The 19210-nt window shown below is 52.4% G+C and overlaps 1 protein-coding gene across 1 annotated transcript, besides 4 other annotated features; it reads left to right on the plus strand.

Annotated features, from left to right (window-relative positions):
• Positions 2606–3318: an enhancer, noted in NCBI's record as "H3K27ac-H3K4me1 hESC enhancer chr17:80692522-80693234 (GRCh37/hg19 assembly coordinates)". NCBI's record gives its function as "activates a minimal SCP1, AML or CMV promoter by ChIP-STARR-seq in primed H9 embryonic stem cells {active_cell/tissue: H9 hESC(primed)}" and the evidence as "EXISTENCE:reporter gene assay evidence [ECO:0000049][PMID:30033119]".
• On the plus strand, positions 3575–19156 carry FN3K (fructosamine 3 kinase). Its single transcript, NM_022158.4, has 6 exons — positions 3575–3737; positions 6449–6600; positions 8723–8814; positions 9271–9353; positions 16815–16937; positions 18377–19156. The coding sequence occupies exons 1-6, from the start codon at positions 3597–3599 to the stop codon at positions 18713–18715; spliced, it is 930 nt and encodes a 309-aa protein (NP_071441.1). The 5' UTR covers positions 3575–3596; the 3' UTR covers positions 18716–19156.
• Positions 4031–4743: an enhancer, noted in NCBI's record as "H3K27ac-H3K4me1 hESC enhancer chr17:80693947-80694659 (GRCh37/hg19 assembly coordinates)". NCBI's record gives its function as "activates a minimal SCP1, AML or CMV promoter by ChIP-STARR-seq in primed H9 embryonic stem cells {active_cell/tissue: H9 hESC(primed)}" and the evidence as "EXISTENCE:reporter gene assay evidence [ECO:0000049][PMID:30033119]".
• Positions 4744–5455: an enhancer, noted in NCBI's record as "H3K4me1 hESC enhancer chr17:80694660-80695371 (GRCh37/hg19 assembly coordinates)". NCBI's record gives its function as "activates a minimal SCP1, AML or CMV promoter by ChIP-STARR-seq in primed H9 embryonic stem cells {active_cell/tissue: H9 hESC(primed)}" and the evidence as "EXISTENCE:reporter gene assay evidence [ECO:0000049][PMID:30033119]".
• Positions 11593–12229: an enhancer, noted in NCBI's record as "H3K27ac-H3K4me1 hESC enhancer chr17:80701509-80702145 (GRCh37/hg19 assembly coordinates)". NCBI's record gives its function as "activates a minimal SCP1, AML or CMV promoter by ChIP-STARR-seq in naive H9 embryonic stem cells {active_cell/tissue: H9 hESC(naive)}" and the evidence as "EXISTENCE:reporter gene assay evidence [ECO:0000049][PMID:30033119]".

Genomic DNA, 19210 nt, shown 5'->3' on the forward strand with positions numbered 1-19210 from the left:
GGGGTGGGGAAGACCTGTATCTTGGAAAGATGATGTAGGGGTGCACTGTAAGGGGTATATTGGAGGGGGAATTCCAGGCAGCAGGGAGAGGGCTGGCGGGGGCTTTCCTGTGAGTGGGTAAGCAGGACTGTGAGAAGGGCAAAGGCCCAGGAGCCATGGAGGGGCCAGGACAGGGTGGTGAGAGAGAGGGAGCAGTGCCACCGGCTTGTCCACGTATTTCACTGAAGCCTGTGCCACGTCTGCACATCCCACCTCCACCCATCCACGCCTCTGCCTGAACCACTCCATTAACCAGCTGGCCTCTGCTTGGGGTGGCCCAGGGGAGCCGAGAGGAGATGGGGAGGGTGGGTGAGGTTAGGATATCATTCTCAGACTTCCTTCATCAAGCCCACACCCCAGGCCTGGGTGGCGCCAGCTCTGTAGCCAGGCTCAGCTCTGTCCTGTGGTCTCCCCACACCCTGCCCATGTCTGTGCCAGGCCCCTTTCTTGGGTCCTCCTTGATTCCTCCAGCTTGAGGTCCACATCCCACCTTTACTCCGTCCACGCCTCTCCTCTGGGCTGATGGTAGGATCACAAGCATGGGTGGCCCCGACACCTGACCAGCACCGCAGACCAGGCCCTGTACTAAGACATCCAGGCAGATGGGGAAAAAGATGGGTGGTACCACTCCCAGAACGGGAAACCGGACAGAGGGCAGGTTCTGTTTTGTTTGTGACGGAGTCTTGTTCTGTCACCCAGGCTGGAATGCAGTGGCGTGATCTCGGCTCAGTACGACCTCCACTCCCAGGCTCAAGCAATTCTCCTGCCTCAGCGTCCCAAGTAGCTGGGATTACAGGTGTGTGCCACCATGCCCGACTAAAATTTTTTTGTATTTTTCGTAGAGATAGGGTTTCACCAAGTTGATCAGGCTGGTCTTGAACTCCTGACCTTGTGATCTACCCACCTCGGCCTCCCAAAGAGCTGGGATTACAGGCATGAGCCACTGCAACCAGCCGATACAGGTCGTTTTAAAAACAGTATTATTTGCACACCATACAATTTACTCTACTAATTCTCTAAGAAACTTGGGATCACTTAACTGCCCTGCCCTTGAATCTTCAACAGCTCTTAACCCCCCACATAGAGGACTTCCTAGCCTGGTGCCTGCATATCTGTTTCTTCATTCAGGCACCTCTTCTCACTGAGAGACCTGAGCACTCGTATGGTTCTCTGTGTGACGCCTAATATCTGACTGTAGACTCATGAGTTGTATGAAGAAAAATTACAAGGGGCTTTGAGGCAGTAACAGAGAGGACTGACTCTAGACCACAGTGTTGGAATTCCAAAAAAGAGAACCAAGAATACAGAGGGAGAACGCCATGAAGGGCTAAAAGCTGTCCCAGGATTGGAGGACCCACCAGTCCTGTTCAGGGGATGACAGGAGACTCACCCTGACACCTCCCTGGGGAATTTTTCACTGGTGTCACAGAGAAGACCCTAAAAGCCTGCAGAGATAGAACAGTTTCCACACAAAGAATAAGAACTGAAATGGCCATAAGCTTCTCAACATCAAAACTGGAGCTGGCAGCTTCTTGGTTCCTAAAGAACATGGTCTGATCTCCAAGCTGGAATTTGATACCCAGCCAAACTGTCAACTAGGAAGAAAGAAATTTACAGACGTACGAGAGCTCACACTGGCCTGTCAGGAACCTTCTGTCAAGATGCGATAGCAGGGTGGGCTTCAGATGAGAAAAAGCCAGGGACTGGCACATGCCCTTTCTGCAGACACCACAGTCATCCTCCTGTCCTACCTGCTGTTCTGCGGCAGCCCTGCCACTCCTGTCAAGAGGTGGCTGCTTGGCCGGGTGCCATGTGTAATCCCAGCACATTGGGAGGCTGAGGCAGGCGGATCACCTGAGGCCAGGAGTTTGAGACCATCCTGGCCAACATGGTGAAACCCCGTCTCTACTAAAAATACAAAAATTAGCGGGGCGTGGTGACGCGTGCCTGTAATCCCAGCTACTCAGGAAGCTGAGGTAGGAGAATCGCTTGAACCCGGGAGGTGGAGGTTGCAGTGAGCCGAGATTGCACTTCAGCCTGGGTGACAGAGCAAGACCCTGTTTCAAAAAAAAAAAAGAGGTGGCTGCGGATCCCCTTGCCTTGATTGCGGCTTTGGAGACCGATGGAAGGAGGTGGAAATGATGGTGTGTGGCTTCTGAGGCCAGGTCAGAAAAGGCCTTTGCTTCTGCCAGCTCTCTGGGAGCTCTGGCTCTCCCAGTGCTCACTCTTGGAACCTGGCCTCCATGTTCAGGGAAGCTCAGGCCACACCAGGAGGCCACATGGACATGTCCTGCTTGACAGTGACCGCTAAGCCCAGGTTCCAGTGATCCTGGCCGAGGTGCCAGATGTAGGAGTTAAGGAGCCTCCCGATGACCCCAGCCCAGCTGAGCAAGTGGGCAGGACCGCGGGGATAGGCAGCTCCCAAAGGCTCCCTCCCCGCGGCAGGACCCCTGCATCTCTGTGGGAAAAGACAATTGTTGGGGCCCTAAAAAAAACAGATTTATTGATTAAAACCTCATGCATGGCCGGGCGTGGTGGTTCACGGCTGTAATCCCAGCACTTTGGGAGGCTGAGGCACGCAGGTCACCTGGCCAACATGGGGAAACCCCATGTCTACTAAAACTACAAAATGTAGCTGGGCAGGCCGGGCCGGTGGCTTGACGCCTGTAATCCCAGCACTTTGGGAGGCCGAGCGGGTGGATCACGAGGTTAGGAGATTGAGACCATCCTGGCTCACAGGGTGAAACCCTGTCTCCACTAAAACATACAAAAATATTAGCCGGGCGTGGTGGCGGGCGCCTGTAGTCCCAGCTACTCGGGAGGCTGAGGCAGGAGAATGGCTTGAACCCGGGAGGCGGAGCTTGCAGTGAGCCGAGATCGCGCCACTGCACTGCAGCCTGGGAGACAGAGACTCCATCTCTTAAAAACACAAAAAACAAACAATAAAAAAACCTCACGTCAAATGACTTCAGCACGGACTGGGCTCAGGTGCGCACCTGCTCGTGTGCACGCGTGTGTACCCACGTGTATGCATGCATGGGCGCGCGTGGGCATTCCTGTGTCTCAAGTCCCTTTCCCAGGACATCCTGGAATCAGCAGCCCCACCCTGGGCCGGGTCAGCGCGTGCCATCGGAGCCCCCACGTCAGCCTCTCTCTCCGATCGGCACCTGGCGTCCCAGTGCGCAAGCCCCACGTCATCACGGGGGCCGCTGGGCCCGGCCTGGTCTGCAGTGTGGGAAGCCGGCCAGGCCTGTGACCAGCGCCCGGGCCGAGGGCCGGACCTGCGTCCGCTGCGGGGCAGGGATACCGGGTCCCTGCAGGGAGCTCAAGCCCCAGCGCGCCCGCGAAGAGCTGCGCGGACTCCCGGCTGCTTCCCCCGAATCCCGGGCGCAGGAAGCGCGAAGCCGGACGAACGCGGGGAGCGCGCGGCGAGCCCGCCTGAGGCCGCCCCTCCCGCCGCCCGGGGTCACGCGCCGCGCGCTCCCGCCCCGCCCCGCCCCGCAGCGCCTCAGCCGACAGGGGCTTCCGAGCGAGCAGAGTCCCGCGCCCCGCACTCCATGGAGCAGCTGCTGCGCGCCGAGCTGCGCACCGCGACCCTGCGGGCCTTCGGCGGCCCCGGCGCCGGCTGCATCAGCGAGGGCCGAGCCTACGACACGGACGCAGGCCCAGTGTTCGTCAAAGTCAACCGCAGGACGCAGGTGCTGGCCCGTGCGCAGGCGGGGGCTCTGCGGGTCTCTGCGGGGCCTGGGAAGGCGGAGGGGTCGGGGGCAGGCGCATTTCCTGGGGCTGGGCCTGGGGAGGGGTCAGCTTTGGCCCTTGGGAGGTGGCACCTGCTGGGTGAGCCCGGCTCAAGCGTTCTGTGAAGGTTTGTGTCTGCACGATCCGTGACCTTCCTTTGGCCTCCATGCGCAGCGCACAGGCTTCTAGGGGTGGTTTTAACTTTCCTATCCAGCAAGCGTCGGGGGATGTGAGGCTTGGGGTCCTTGGCTCAGCTCTGGGCCGCCCCTCTCAGCCCACCGTCCTCCTGGCAGTGGGAAAGAAGCAGAGACATGGCTGGGCCCCTGGCAGGGACCCCACGGGCCAGGCCAGCGTTCTCCTTCCCACAGGCCTTGTCTGTGTTTAGACCTGATTTCTATCTCCTGCTGAAAATAGTTCTGTTTAAGAATGTATGGAAGGCCGGGCGCGGTGGTTCACACCTGTAATCCCATCACTTTGGGAGGCCGAGGTGAGTGGATCCCTGAGGTCAGGAGTTCGAGACCATCCTGGCCAACATGGTGAAACCCCGTCTCTACCAAAAAATGCAATAATTAGCCGGATGTGGTGCCACTGGCCTGTAATCCCAGCTACTCGGGAGGCTGAGGCAGGAGAATTGCTTGAACCCAGGAGATGGAGGTTGCAGTGAGCCAAGATCGCGCCATTGCACTCCAGCCTGGGCAACAAGAGGGAAACTCCGTCTCAAAAAAAAAAAAGTATGGAAAATGTTAACGGAGGAAGTGGAGAAGGTTAGCTTCAGCCTTGAGAGCCGGCAGGTGGAGAAAGGCAGGCCTGGGTGCCCTCCCGGCCCGAGTGGGCTCAGAAGGCCCTGCACACTCTGGTGGGGGAGCTCTCTGAGGGGCAGCAGGGGTCCTGGTGGGGAGTGCTGGCAGGAGGAACACCAGAGCCATGCAGCCTGGGCGTGCGATCGGATCCTCCGGCATCACCTGCTCTGCCGGCTCAGAACCAAATCCCTCAAAGTGGGGAGTCCTACTCACAGGGAAGCAGTTTTTGGTTCAGGCTTCCCACGGGCTCTGGGAAACTTCCTCAGCTGGTCCTGAAAGCTCTGCAGGGTGAGACCCCTCCTTCCCTCCCACCCCCACGAGGGGCCGGCACATAGTAGCTGCTCAGTCCATGCATAAGAGCAGGTGATGCTGGGGCCCCTGGGGCTTAGCAGCCCCAAGGCCGGGAGTTCCTGGCCTGGTGCATGGGGGGCTCGCCCTGGAGCAGGGCTGGGGTGTGCCGGCCGCCCTCCCACCTGTGGACACTCACACCCACCCTCGGTGCAGGCTGGCCAGGGCTGCCAGGCTGGGGAGGCTGTGCCTGGGCTTTCCCTGGGGTACTTTGAAGGAAAGGGCGTTCTGTTCGTGTGCACCAGCAGATGCTTTGGTCTCATTCATGAGGTTTGATTTTTTTAAACATGCAGTCCTACACTTTGGGCGACTGAGGAAAGGTGGATCACTTGAGGCCAGGAGTTTGAGACCAGCCTGGCCATCATGGTGAAATTCCATCTCTTTTTTTTTGAGACGGACTCTTGCTCTGTCGCCCAGGCTGGATCTCGGCTCACTGCAAGCTGCGCCTCCCGGTTCACTCCATTCTCCTGCCTCAGCCTCCCGAGTAGCTGGGACTACAGGTGCCCGCCACCTTGCCTGGCTAATTTTTTGTATTTTTAGTAGAGACGAGGTTTCACCGTGTTAGCCAGGATGGTCTCAATCTCCTGACCTTGTGATCCGCCCACCCCGGCCTCCCAAAGTGCTGGGATTACAGGTGCGAGCCACCACGCACGGCGGTGGAACTCCATCTCTAGTAAAAATACAGAAAAACACAGCGGGGTGGGGTGGCCCACACCTGTAATCCCAGCTACTCAGGAGGCCGAAGCAGGAGAATCGTTTGAACCCAGGAGGCGGAGGCTGCCGTGAGCCGAGATCATGCCACTGCCCTCCAGCCTGGGTGACAGAGTGAGACCCTGTCTCAAAACAAACATGCAATTCTATAGGCCAAGGTATTCATGGACCACGTTCGTCAATGCATGTTTTCAACCAATGTGTACTGTACGTGAGGTGAGTGTTCACCTAACTGAAAACTGGAATGTTTGTGGGAATATTTCAGAAACAGGAAGGCCCAGGTCCCACGGGAGGCGTTGGGGGCCGGCCGGGTGTGCCGTGCCTTTTACCTTCCCAGCCCCTGCCCTGGACCTGAGGCCCCGCCTGATGGGCCCAGCCCTCTTCTTCCCTGCCTGACGTGTGTGCCCAAGTTAGCTCCAGTGAGGCCTCTGCTGTGGCTGCCCCACCCTAAGAGGCAGCAAGGAAGGTGGGTAGCCCGGGGGTCCAGCTCTGGACCTTGGTTCACTCACACCTCCCCACGCCCTCAGTGCTCCCGGGCACCCACACGTGGCCTGTGCATCCTCCTGTCACAGCAGCCTGCAGACCCCACACCCCTCACGGCCCAGGCTCAGCCTCAGCCTTGCAGCCTCTCGTCTCCGACGGGGGGCCCCTCTGCACCCTGCCCTCTGTGGTGGACGCCAGCTCCCAGCCAGAGCCAGCTATCAGTGAATGAAGGTCCTTGTGACTCCCACGTGGTAGCTTCTGTCAAGGGCCCAGTGGGCAGAGGCCCTGGCTGAGTCAACAAGGCTGACAAGGCTGTGTTCTGGATGCAGGCCCGGCAGATGTTTGAGGGGGAGGTGGCCAGCCTGGAGGCCCTCAGGAGCACGGGCCTGGTGCGGGTGCCGAGGCCCATGAAGGTCATCGACCTGCCGGGAGGTGGGGCCGCCTTTGTGATGGAGCATTTGAAGATGAAGAGCTTGAGCAGGTGAGTGTGTGTGAGACCCATATGCGCACATGTGTACAGGCAGAGAGAGACTCAGAGACAAACAGAGAGAGACAGAGAAAGGGATAGAGATGGGGAGGGAGACAGAAACAGGGAGAAGCCTGTGGCTGAGCCGTCCACACAACTGCCCGGTTATCAGAGGCAGGGCCAAGAGTTCCACCCTGCCATTCTTAATGGAGATAAAAAGTTACTGCTTTCTGGTATGTGACTGGTTTTCCTAGATAAGTTTGGCTGTAATGAGGCTGCATAAAATATATATATATACACATATATATATATATATATATATTTTTTTTTTTTTTGAAACACAGTCTCGCTCTGTTGCCCAGGCTAGAGTGCAGTGCAGTGGTGCAATCTCGGCTCACTGCAACTTCTGCCCCCAGGGTTCAAATGATTCTCCCACCTCAGCCTCCTGAGTAGCTGGGACTACAGGTGTCCACCACCACACCTGACTAATTTTTGTATTTTTAGTAGAGATGGGGTTTCACCATGTTGGCTGAGTTGGTCTCAAACTTCTGACTTCAAGTGATCCACCCACCTCGGCTTCCCAAAGTGCTGGGATAACAGGCCTGAGCCACCACACCTGCCCAAAATAAGTATATTTGAACCCATCATTTGCTTTGTACTTTATTTTTATTTTATTTTTCCAAGACAGAGTCTTGCTCTGTTTCCCAGGCTGGAGTGCAGTGATGCAATCTTGGCTCACTGCAAACTCCGCCTCCTGGGTTCAAGCAATTCTCTTGTCTCAGCCTCGCGAGTGGCTGGGATTACAGGCACCCCACCACCTCACGCAGCTATTTTTTTTTTTTTTTTTTTTGAGACGGAGTGTCGCTCTGTCACCCAGGCTGGAGTGCAGTGGCGCGATCTTGGCTCATTGCAAACTCTGCCTCCTGGGTTGACGCCATTCTCCTGCCTCAGCCTCCCGAGTAGAAGGGACTACAGGCGCCCGCCACCATGCCCGGCTAATTTTTTGTATTTTTAGTAGAGACGGGGTTTCACCATGTTAGCCAGGATGGTCTCGATCTGCTGACCTCGTGATCTACCCGCCTTGACCTCCCAAAGTGCTGGGATTATAGGCGTGAGCCACCGCGCCCGGCCTAATTTTTGTATTTTTAGTAGCATGTTAGCCAGACTGGTCTCAAACTCCTGACCTCAGTGATCCGCCTGCCTTGGCCTCCCAAAGTGTTGGGATTACAGGTGTGAGCCACCACACCCAGTCCATCTTTTTCTTTTGCTTTTTCTTTCCTTTTTTTTTTGTTTTTTGAGACAGAGTCTTACTCTGTCGCCCAGGCTGGAGTGCAGTGGTGCAGTCTAGGCTCACTGCAAGCTCTGCCTCTTGGGCTCAAATGATTCTTCTGCCTCAGCCTGCAGAGTAGCTGGGACTACAGGTGTACCACCATGCCTGGCTAATTTTTTGTATTTTTAGTAGAGATGGGGTTTCACCATATTGACCAGGCTGGTCTTGAACTCCTGGCCTCATGATCTGCCTGCCTTGGCTTCCCAAAGTCCTGGTACTATAGGCCTGAGCCACTGTGCCACTATGCTTGGCCCTGCATTTTCACTTATCATTACTTTCTCAGCATTCCTCCCTTAATTCCTGGTACCTCCTAAGACTTCTGTTGAAGCTCACTTGGTTAATTCCTGTTTGTGATTACATGATGTTATTTTCTGGAAAGAGTCTTTGCCAGTGCTGGGCGTGGTGGTTCACACCTGTAATCCCAGTATTTTGGAAAGCCGAGGCAGGAGGAGACCCCATCTCTACAAAAAAAAAAAAAAAAAAAAAAAAAGCCAGGAATGGTGGCACAGGCATGTGGTCCCAGCTAGTTGTGAGGCTGAGGTGGAAGGATTGCTTGAGCCCTAGAAGTCAAAGCTGCAGTGAGCCATGATTGTGCCACTGCACTCCAGCCTGGATGACAGAGCAAGGCCTGGCCCCAGAAAAGAAAGAAAAAGCAAAAGAAAGAGTCATTGCCTGGTGTTCACTTTTTACTGTTTGAAGAATGGAGAATAGTTTTCAATGTATTTAAACCTTTCTCAAAATGGAACAAACTGGGTGGTGTTATTTATTATTTGTTATTTTAATTAGCTGCATTTCTTCTTTCCTCAGTCAAGCATCAAAACTTGGAGAGCAGATGGCAGATTTGCATCTTTACAACCAGAAGCTCAGGGAGAAGTTGAAGGAGGAGGAGAACACAGTGGGTATGTTCAGATTGCTTTTGGGTACCCTTGATCCAGCCACATTGTCTACCCTAGATGGGTGCTCATGGTACTTCTTGGTGGCATTTCAATAATAGGTTGAGTTGTATACCGTCTGTCTTTACACTACATTATGAAAATGAGATTATTAAATAAGAATTTTGATGTAGCTGATAAGCTAGTAGAATTGGCACATGATCCCTTTTATACCCAGCCCTCCTGTCTGGTGTGCTTGAGGTAATAATAACCCCTTTTATACCCAGCCCTGCTGTCTAGTGTGCTTGAGGTAGGAGTGTCCTGGCAGATCCATATATTGACTAATTGCTACTGTATGTAGTACATCCTCAGACCACCTATATTCTAGCATGCGTAGCCCAGGCTTGTACTGATGCTCTGCTGAGGTCTGGCATTTAAGAGAAAGACAAACAGCTCCTTCAGGCCAAGGATCTCTGTCAACAGGCCGAAGAGGTGAGGGTGCTGAGCCTCAGTATGTGGACAAGTTCGGCTTCCACACGGTGACGTGCTGCGGCTTCATCCCGCAGGTGAGTGCCTGGGTGAGGGTGTTCCCTGATGCCCTAATGCTGGTCACCCACTCTTTATATGTGACAGAATGCTAATCTCCCAAGCACCAGCAAGATTGACTACTTGATTTCTGAAAGCAGAGTAGAAGCTGTGATACCTGGAATGGGGAGAGCAGACGCTGAGGGTCACTGAGCTGAGCTGGGCAGGGTCATGGGACATGCTGGGGCAGGCAGATCAGCATTCCAAGCAGAGCGAGCCTCAAGTGCAAAGGTTGTGTTGCACAAGGCTCCTGATGAGTCTGAGGGACTGGAGACAGTGGGTGATGGGTAGTGTGCAAAGTCAGGGATTAAGTGCTGATTACTCAGCTCCTCTCCTGAGGCCTTTACAAATTATTATTTATTTAGATACAATTGAAATATAATTCACATAAGATCCACCATTTTAAAGGATTAGAATTAATTGGTTTTTAGTACATTCGTGATGGTGTGCAACCATCACTGCTGTTTAACTCCAGAACATTTTCTTTCTTTTCTTTTCTTTTTTATTTTTTTGAGACGGCATTTTGCCCTTGTTGCCCAGGCTGGAGTGCAATGGCACGATCTCGACCCACCGCAACATCGGCCTCCTGGGTTCAAGCGGTTCTCCTGTCTCAGCCTCTCAAGTAGCTGGGATTACAGGCATGCACCACCACACCCGGCTAATTTTTGTATTTTTAGTAGAGACGGGGTTTCATGTTGACCAGGCTGGTCTCGAACTCCTGACCTCAGGTGATCTGCCCTCCTCGGCCTTCCAAAGTGCTGGGATTACAGGCACGAGCCACCGCGCCTGGACTTAATGTTGTATTTTTAGTAGAGATGGGGTTTCTCCACGTTGGTCAGGCTGGTCTTGAACTCCCAACCTCAGGTGATCCACCCACCTCGGCCTCCCAAAGTGCTGGGATTACAGGTGTGAGCCACCATGCCTGGCCAGAACATTTTCATTATCCTAAAGCAGAACCCATTAGCAGTCACTCCCCATTTCCCCCTTTCCTGGTCCCTGGCAACCTCTAATGTACCTTCTGTCTCTTTGAATTTTCTGGATATGTCATATGAGTGGAAACACATAATATGTGATCTTTTGTATCTTTCATTCAGCATCATGTTTCACAGCTCTTCCATGTTGTAGCAGGTGTTAGAATGTTATTCTTTTATGGCTGAATAATATTCCATTCTATGGCTAGGCCACACGTTTCTTTACATATTCCTTTTTATGGCTGAATAATACTGGAGCCTCTTGAACCATCATCTTTGAAATCTGTGAAGTTCCAAAGAAGACTTTGGACAGCCCAACTGCCCTGTGCTTCTCTTGAAGAAGCCAATATTGGACCATATTTTGGTTTTGTTAGGAACACAGCACCCATTATATAAGAGCTAGTTCAAAGTCACTGCTTCTTGAAGAGAGAATACTTTCAAATCTGTCTCCTTGTCGACGCCCGTCCTGACTAGTTGGGTCCCTGCGAACAATGACCAAGCTCTCCCTGGTGTGGGTAGAGGGTGATTCTCCCAGCTGGAGGTCACCTGGGGCAAGATCCTCATGAAGCCCAAGCAGATTTAGGGTTCCCAGCCAACAGGCAGTCCTCACATCTGGGCTCGCTAGAACTGCACATGGAGCTTACCAGATTTACCGAGACCCCCGAGATCTCAGCCACAGCTGGCTCCCCTGGGGTCACACACCTGTCCGGAGCCAGTGAGCAGCACCCTCTTCACCTGTCCAGGTGAGCACGGCTGGGTGCAGCTTGTGGTCCTGTGGTCCTGCTGTGGATGCTGAGGTCAAGGGCTGCAAGTGGCGGGCTCTACAGGACTTGGCTGGCCCAGCAGAGTGGTGTTTCAAAGAAATGAAGTGAAATCTTACCCAGAGCCCCTGTGTGTGAAGCAGACGAGAAGGGGGCTAGTCTGTTTGGAGCACAGGGAGCCCCTCAATGCCCCTCGGACTCCAGGATCAAGGAACCCACCTCAGATCAGGTGCAGCCTGGCTAGGAAGGGTGAGGCGCCAGGGAGGACACCTGCCCTGCTTCCTGCTTGTTGTGCCTCGGACAGCACCAGGTTCCGGAGGCTTCCCACTCCTTGGGAGGGCTCAATGGGTCCTGGGGGAATGTGTGCTGCAGCCAATGGGGGGCAGTGCTGAGCGGCGGGCTCCTCAGACACCTGGGCACTAAGGCCCCCTGGGGCTGCCAGCTGGGTCGGCTGTGGTGCTTGCCCCATGCTCTGTACACTGCCACATACAGGCACCCTTCTAAGCACTTCACTGAACTCAACTCACCCACTTGCCCTAGCAGGTAACCAGGCAGATAATGTCACTGATCCGTTTTATAGATGAGGAAAGTGACATGCAGAGTTCATGCCTGGGTCCATGGAGCTTGTCAGCGGGGCAGCTGGGCTTCGACCCTCAGTCTGGCTTCAGACCACAGGCCCTGACCATGACGCAGCCCCTCTGTCAGGGGAGGCCTGGTCATTGGGACCAGCTGTGTACCCAGGTGGCACCTTCCCCGGGTAGCTTGGAGGATCACAGCCCCTCTGTTCAGGTGGCAGGACTGGGCTAGCCCAGGCTGGTCGCCTGCTTCCAGCACTAAACCTGGTTGTCTTCTGGAAAGAGTACAGAGCTCAGACGCTGGGAGCTTGGGCAGGCAAATGGGAAATAACGGGAGGCTGCACGGTGCACCTCTGAGCTGGGGATCTGACAGCCAGGCTATGGGGAGGGGCCTTTCCATCCTGCTCTTGAGGTGCACACAGCACCAGAGGGTGAGCCCAGGGGCCGAGTCACCACAGCACCCATGTGCAGGGAGATTCTTGGTGGGGGCCACTGACCAGGGCGGTCCTCCCCGAAGGAGTTTTACAAAATAACCCTTTGTATAAAATCAGCTTCGTATTTTTCTCTACAGAGGTGTAATTTGACATAAATTGCACCCATTTAAAATGTATAATTTGGTACATTTTGATGTTTGTACCTGTGAACCTTTACCACAGTCAAGGTGAGTATACTGATTACCCCCAAAAGGTTCCTCGTGCCCTTCCCTGCCCCTGGGCAACCATTCATTGGTGTTGTCACTGTAGATTAGTTTGCATCTTGTGGAATTTAATATAAATAGAATCATGTGGTATGTCTTCTGTCTGCTTCTCTCATGAAGGGGTGGGTTGCCCCTCCACACCTGTGGGTGTTTCTCGTTAGGTAGAACGAGAGACTTGGAAAAGAAAAAGACACAGAGACAAAGTATAGAGAGAAATAAGGGGACCCAGGGAACTAGCGTTCAGCATATGGAGGATCCCGCCAGCCTCTGAGTTCCCTTAGTATTTATTGATCATTCGTGGGTGTTTCTCCGAGAGGGGGATGTGTCAGGGTCACAAGACAATAGTGGGGAGAGGGTCAGCAGACAAACATGTGAACAAAGGTCTTTGCATCATAGACAAGGTAAAGAATCAAGTGCTGTGCTTTTAGATATGCATACACATAAACATCTCAATGCTTTACAAAGCAGTATTGCTGCCCGCATGTCCCACCTCCAGCCCAAGGCGGTTTTTCCCTATCTCAGTAGATGGAAGGTACAATTGGGTTTTATACCGAGACATTCCATTGCCCAGGGACGGGCAGGAGACAGATGCCTTCCTCTTGTCTCAACTGCAAGAGGCATGCCTTCCTCTTATACTAATCCTCCTCAGTACAGACCCTTTATGGGTGTCGGGCTGGGGGACGGTCAGGTCTTTCCCTTCCTACGAGGCCATATTTCAGACTGTCACATGGGGAGAAACCTTGGACAATACCTGGCTTTCCTAGGCAGAGGTCCCTGCAGCCTTCCACAGTGTTTGTGTCCCTGGGTACTTGAGATTAGGGAGTGGTGATGACTCTTAACGAGTATGCTGCCTTCAAGCATTTGTTTAACAAAGCACATCTTGCACCGCCCTTAATCCATTTAACCCTGAGTTTGACACAGCACACGTTTCAGAGAGCAGGGGGTTGGGGGTAAGGTCATAGATTAACAGAATCTCAAGGCAGAAGAATTTGTCTTAGTACAGAACAAAATGGAGTCTCCTATGTCTACTTCTTTCTACACAGACACAGTAACAATCTGATCTCTCTTGCTTTTCCCCACACTCTCACTCAGCATAATCATGCTGATATTTATCCAAGTCTAAAATCCTTTGATATTCATCCGTGATACACATCCATGTTGCATGTGTCAAAAGCCCATTCCCCTGTACGGATCTAACACAGCCTGTTTATCCATTCACATGTGGATGGATTTCTGGATCATTTCCAGTTTTTGCTCATACAAATAAAGCCGCTGTGAACCTTTGTGTACAAATCTTGGTCTGGACAAATGCTTCCACTTATCTCGGGTAAATACCTAGGAGGGGGATGACTGTGTCATATGGTAGGTCCATATTTAGCTCTTTAAGAAACTACTGGCCGGGTGGGGTGGCTCACACTTGTAATCCCAGCACTTTGGGAGGCTGAGGCGGGTGGATCACAAGGTCAGGAGGTCGAGACCATCATGGCTAACACAGTGAAACCCCGTCTCTACTAAAAAATACAAAAAATTAACAGGGCATGGTGGCGGGCGCCTGTAGTCCCAGCTACTTGGGAGGCTGAGGCAGGAGAATGGCGTGAACTCGGGAGGTGGAGCTTGCAGTGAGCCGAGATCTCGCCACTGCACTCCAGCCTGGGCGACAGAGCAAGACTCCGTCTCAAAAAAAAAAAAAAAAAAACTACCAAACTCTTTTCCAAAGTGGTTGCACCATGTTGCATTCCCACCAGCAGCATATGGGAGTTCCAGTTCCTCCACATCCTTGTCAACACTTGAGATTTTTTGTTTTAAATTACAGCCATCCTAGTGGGCGTGAAATATTATCTCACTGAGGTTCTATTTTGCATTTCCATAATGACTGAAGATGTGGAGCATCTATTCGTGTGCCTGTTTGCTGACAAAATATCTTCTTTGGTGAACCATGTGTTCACTTATTTTGTCCAATTTGTGAATAGGGTTTTTTTTTTATTATTGAGTTTTGAGATTTCTTTGCGTATTTAGGATATGAGTGTTTTACCAGATATATGATTTGCGAATAGTGTCTCCTAGTTTGTTGTTTGTGTATTTTCTTGGAAGCGTCCTTCAGAGGCTGGGCATGGTGGCTCGCGCCTGTAATCCCAGCACTTTCGGAGGCCGAGGTGGGCAGATCACTTGAGGTCAGGAGTTCGAGACCAGCCTGGCCAACATGGTGAAACCCCATCTCTACTAAAAATACCAAAACATTAGCCAGGCATGGTGGCGGGCACCTGTAATTCCAGCTACTCGAAAGGCTGAGGCAGGAGAATTGCTTGAACCCGGGAGGCAGGGAGGTTGCAGTGAGCTGAGATCGTGCCATTGCACTCCACCTGGGCAACAAGAACAAAACTTGGTCTCAAAAAAAAAATTTCCTTATTATCCTTTTTATTGTTGTTGAGATGGAGTTTCACTCTGTTGAGCAGGCTAGAGTGCAGTGGTAAGATCTTGGCTCACTGCAACCCCTGCCTCCTGGGTTCAAGCGATTCTCCTGTCTCAGTCTCCCAAGCAGCTGGGACTACAGGCACCTGCCACCACGCCTGGCTAATTTTTGTATTTTTAGTAGAGATAGAGTTTCACCATCTTGGCCAGGATGGTCTCGAACTCCTGATCTTGTGATCTGCCTGCCTCGGCCTCCCAAAGTGCTGGGATTACAGGTGTGAGCCACCGCGCCTGGCCTCTTGCTTACTTTAGGTTTAATGTGCTCTTTTTCTGGTTGGTTAATGTAGCAGCTGAGGTCATTACTGTGAGATCTTTGCTAACACAGATGTTTAGTGCTACACATTTTCCCCAAGTACTGCTTTAGTGGCATCTCACAAATTATAAGTTGTGTTTTTGCTTTCATTCAATTGAAAACACTTTCTAATTTCCCTTTAGACATCTTTCTTAAACAGATTTTAGAACTGTGTTTAGTTTTAAAATATTTGAGGATTTCCCAGAATTTTTCCTATTGATTTTGTTTTGTTTTGCTTTTCTGAGACGGAGTCTTGCTCTGTCACCAGGCTGGAGTGCAATGGCACAATCTCAGCTCACTGCAACCTCTGCCTCTTGGTTTCAAGAGATTCTCCTGCCTCAGCCTCCCGAGTAGCTGGGACTACAGGCATGCACCATCACGCCCAGCTACTTTTTGTATTTTTAGTAGAAATGGGGTTTCACCATGTTGGTCAGGATGGTTTTGATCTCTTGACCTCGTGATCCACCCACCTCGGCCTCCCAAAGTGTTGGGATTATGGGCGTGAGCCACCAGGCCTGGCCTTCCTATTGATTTCTAATTGAATTTGATTATACTTTGCATGCTTAAATTCTTCTCAATTTATTGAGATCTGTTTGCATGGAGAGAGAAATCCTACTCTATTCCTCTTCTTATAGGCCACTAATCCTATTGGATTAATAATTCACCCTTACGATTTTATTTAACCCTAATTACCTCCTAGAGGCCCTTCCTCCAAATACAGGTATATTAGGGGTTAGGGCTTCAACGTAGGAACGGGGGTGGGCACCATTGAGTCAATAGCAGGATATGGGATTTATCTATTTTTCCTGCAGTTCTTTTACGTATTTTGAAGCTGTGTTATTAGAGGTGTAGGCATTTAGGATTATTATGTTCATTAGTCGACTCCCTTTGTGAAATGACTATATTTGATTTTCTTTGCTTTGAAATCTACTTTGTCTTGTATTAATGTAGCCACTCTAGCTTTCTTTTTTTTTTTCTTTTTTTTTTTGAGATAGAGTTTCACTCTTGTTGCCCAGGCTGGAGTGCAATGGCGCGATCTCGGCTCACTGCACCCTTTGCCTGTGGGTTCAAGCGATTCTCCTACGTCAGCCTCCCAAGTAGCTGGGACTACAGGCCCACGCCACCATGCCCGGCTAATTTTGTATTTTTAGTAGAGATGGAGTTTCCTTATGTTGCCTAGACTGGTCTTTAACTCCTGGGCTCAAGGGATCTGCCCACCTCAGCCTCCCAAAGTGCTGGGAATTGCAGGCGTGAGCCACTGTGCCTGGCCTCCAGCTTTCTTTTGACTAGTGTTAGCATGGTATATCTTTTCTATCCTTTCAAGCTTTTTTTTTTTTTAGTAGATAATGTCTTTTTGCACATAACTTATTGTTGGATTTGCTTTATTTTTCCAACCTGCCAATCTGTCATTTACCAAGAGTATTTATTTTTGACATTCGTATTTAATGTGCTTAGTCATATAGTTTTGAGTCTGTCATCTTGCAATTTGTTTTTTGTTTCATCTGCCCTTTGTTCTCTCTTTACCTGCCTTCCTCTGGGTTGAGTATTTTATGTTTCTGTCTTACCTCCTTTGTTGGCTTACTAGGTATCTTTGCTGGGTTTTGAATGGTCCCTCTAGGGTTTAGGCAGCACTTGGCTCCGAATTGCAACAGTGGCCTCTTTTCCCTTGTTGTCCAGGTGAATGAGTGGCAGGATGACTGGCCGACCTTTTTCGCCCGGCACCGGCTCCAGGCGCAGCTGGACCTCATTGAGAAGGACTATGCTGACCGAGAGGCACGAGAACTCTGGTCCCGGCTACAGGTGGGCACGGCAGTGACTTCTCTGGGAAAGAGCTGGTCCTCTCATGATCCCGCCGCATTTGTGCGGGTTCATCTGTAAAACGGAGCTGGAGCAGGGAACACTGAGTCCTGGAGCACACATCAGGGAGGAAGGGGGGCAGGGGCGGGGGTTCCCCCAAAAGGGAGTCCGAAAGGAGTGAGGAGTGAAGACACACTTGGCTCCTCGTGCCCCTCTCCACTGCTAGGTCACCAGGTATTTAGCCTCAGACTTTCCTCATGTGAAACACAGGTGCTTGTAAATGGTGGTGTTTACCATGATTACTGTTCTTACTATCAGTAACACTTGTCCACTCCATCGTGTTCCTCTCCCATGGGAAGATGTGGGTACCAGATGATCCAGAATGACTGATTTCAAAACATAACTCTCGGCCGGGCACAGTGGTTCACGCCTGTAATCGCAGCATTTGGGAGGCCTAGGTGGGCAGATCACTTGAGGTCAGGAGTTTGAGACCAGCCTGGCCAACATGGTGAAACCCTGTCTGTACTAAAAATGCAAAAATTAACCGTGCATGGTGGTGCATGCCTGTAATCCCAGCTACTCAGGAGGCTGAGGCAGGAGAATCACTTGAACCCGGGAGGCGGAGGCTGCAGTGAGGGGAGATTGCACCATTGCACTCCAGCCTGGACGACAGAGTGAGATCCTGTATCAAAAAGAAAAAAAATCAAAATATAACTCTCAAAATGTTAAAAAAGAATGTGCATGTCAATCCAGAGTGAGTATACATCAAAGAGACTTGAACTCATTAATGAAGAAACTAGGCTGGGCACGGTGGCTCAAGCCTGTAATCCTAGCACTTTGGGAGGCCGAGGTGGATAGATTTTACCTGAGGTCAGGATTTCAAGACCAGACTGGCCAATATGGTGAAACCCCATCTCTACTAAAAATACAAAAATTAGCCGGGTGTAGTGGCGGGTGCCTGTAATCCCAGCTACTCAGTAGGCTGAGGCAGGAGAATCACTTGAATCCGGGAGGCGGAGGTTGCAGTGAGCCGAGATGGCGCCACTGCACTCCAGCCTGGGTGACAGAGCAAGATTCCCTCTCAAAGAAAAAAACAACAAAACCAAACAAAACCTGCAGACATATATGTGTAGCGAAATAAAAGTGGCCAGAGTTTGCTAAGGTAGCGCAACACTGGTTCCTATTCTGTGGGTCGATTAAAACTATAACCTCAGAGGTTCTCCACTGTGTGGGGATTCTAGACCTAAATTAGGAGGAAATCCTAAGTTAGACAAAGCTAGACTCCCCTGAAGTCAGGTGGCCCCTATTTCTGGGCTTGGCAGGCAGTGCTGGGGCTGGACACCGAAGCAGATCGCGAGTGGGCTTTGCCTTATTTCCAAGAACGAGGTGATGAGACCGGGGCTCCCAGAGGCCAGCGATAACTGCAGCCGTTGCTCTCGTAGGTGAAGATCCCGGATCTGTTTTGTGGCCTAGAGATTGTCCCCGCGTTGCTCCACGGGGATCTCTGGTCGGGAAACGTGGCTGAGGACGACGTGGGGCCCATTATTTACGACCCGGCTTCCTTCTATGGCCATTCCGAGTTTGAACTGGCAATCGCCTTGATGTTTGGGGGGTTCCCCAGATCCTTCTTCACCGCCTACCACCGGAAGATCCCCAAGGCTCCGGGCTTCGACCAGCGGCTGCTGCTCTACCAGCTGTTTAACTACCTGAACCACTGGAACCACTTCGGGCGGGAGTACAGGAGCCCTTCCTTGGGCACCATGCGAAGGCTGCTCAAGTAGCGGCCCCTGCCCTCCCTTCCCCTGTCCCCGTCCCCGTCTCCGTCTCCCCGTCCCTGTCCCCCCGTCCCCCGTCCCTGTGCCCCCGTCCCTGTCCCCCTGTTCCCGTCTCCCCGTCCCTCCGTCTCCATCCCCCCGTCCCCCCATCCTCCTGTCCCCGTCCCCCCGTCCCCGTCCCTCCATCCCTGTCCCCCGTCCCCCTGTCCCCCTGTCCACATACCAATCCCCCTGTCCCCGACCCCCCATCCCCGTCCCCCATCTCCGTCCCCGTCCCCCCTGCCCCGTCCCCGTCTCCGTTCCCCCGTCCCCATCCTCCATCCCCGTCTCCCATCGCCGTCCCCCCGTCCCCGTCCCCCGTCCCCGTCCCCCCTGTCCCTGTCCCCCTTCCCCCGACCCCTCCCAGATCCTGGGGACCAATAAAGCCCGCAGCGGGTCTCGGCTGGCGTCCTGCGCCTCGTTCCTCCGCTCGTGGGGCTGCTTTCAGGGCCAGACGCACGG

This window comes from Homo sapiens, chromosome 17 (assembly GCF_000001405.40).
Source record: "Homo sapiens chromosome 17, GRCh38.p14 Primary Assembly".
NCBI lineage: Eukaryota > Metazoa > Chordata > Mammalia > Primates > Hominidae > Homo > Homo sapiens.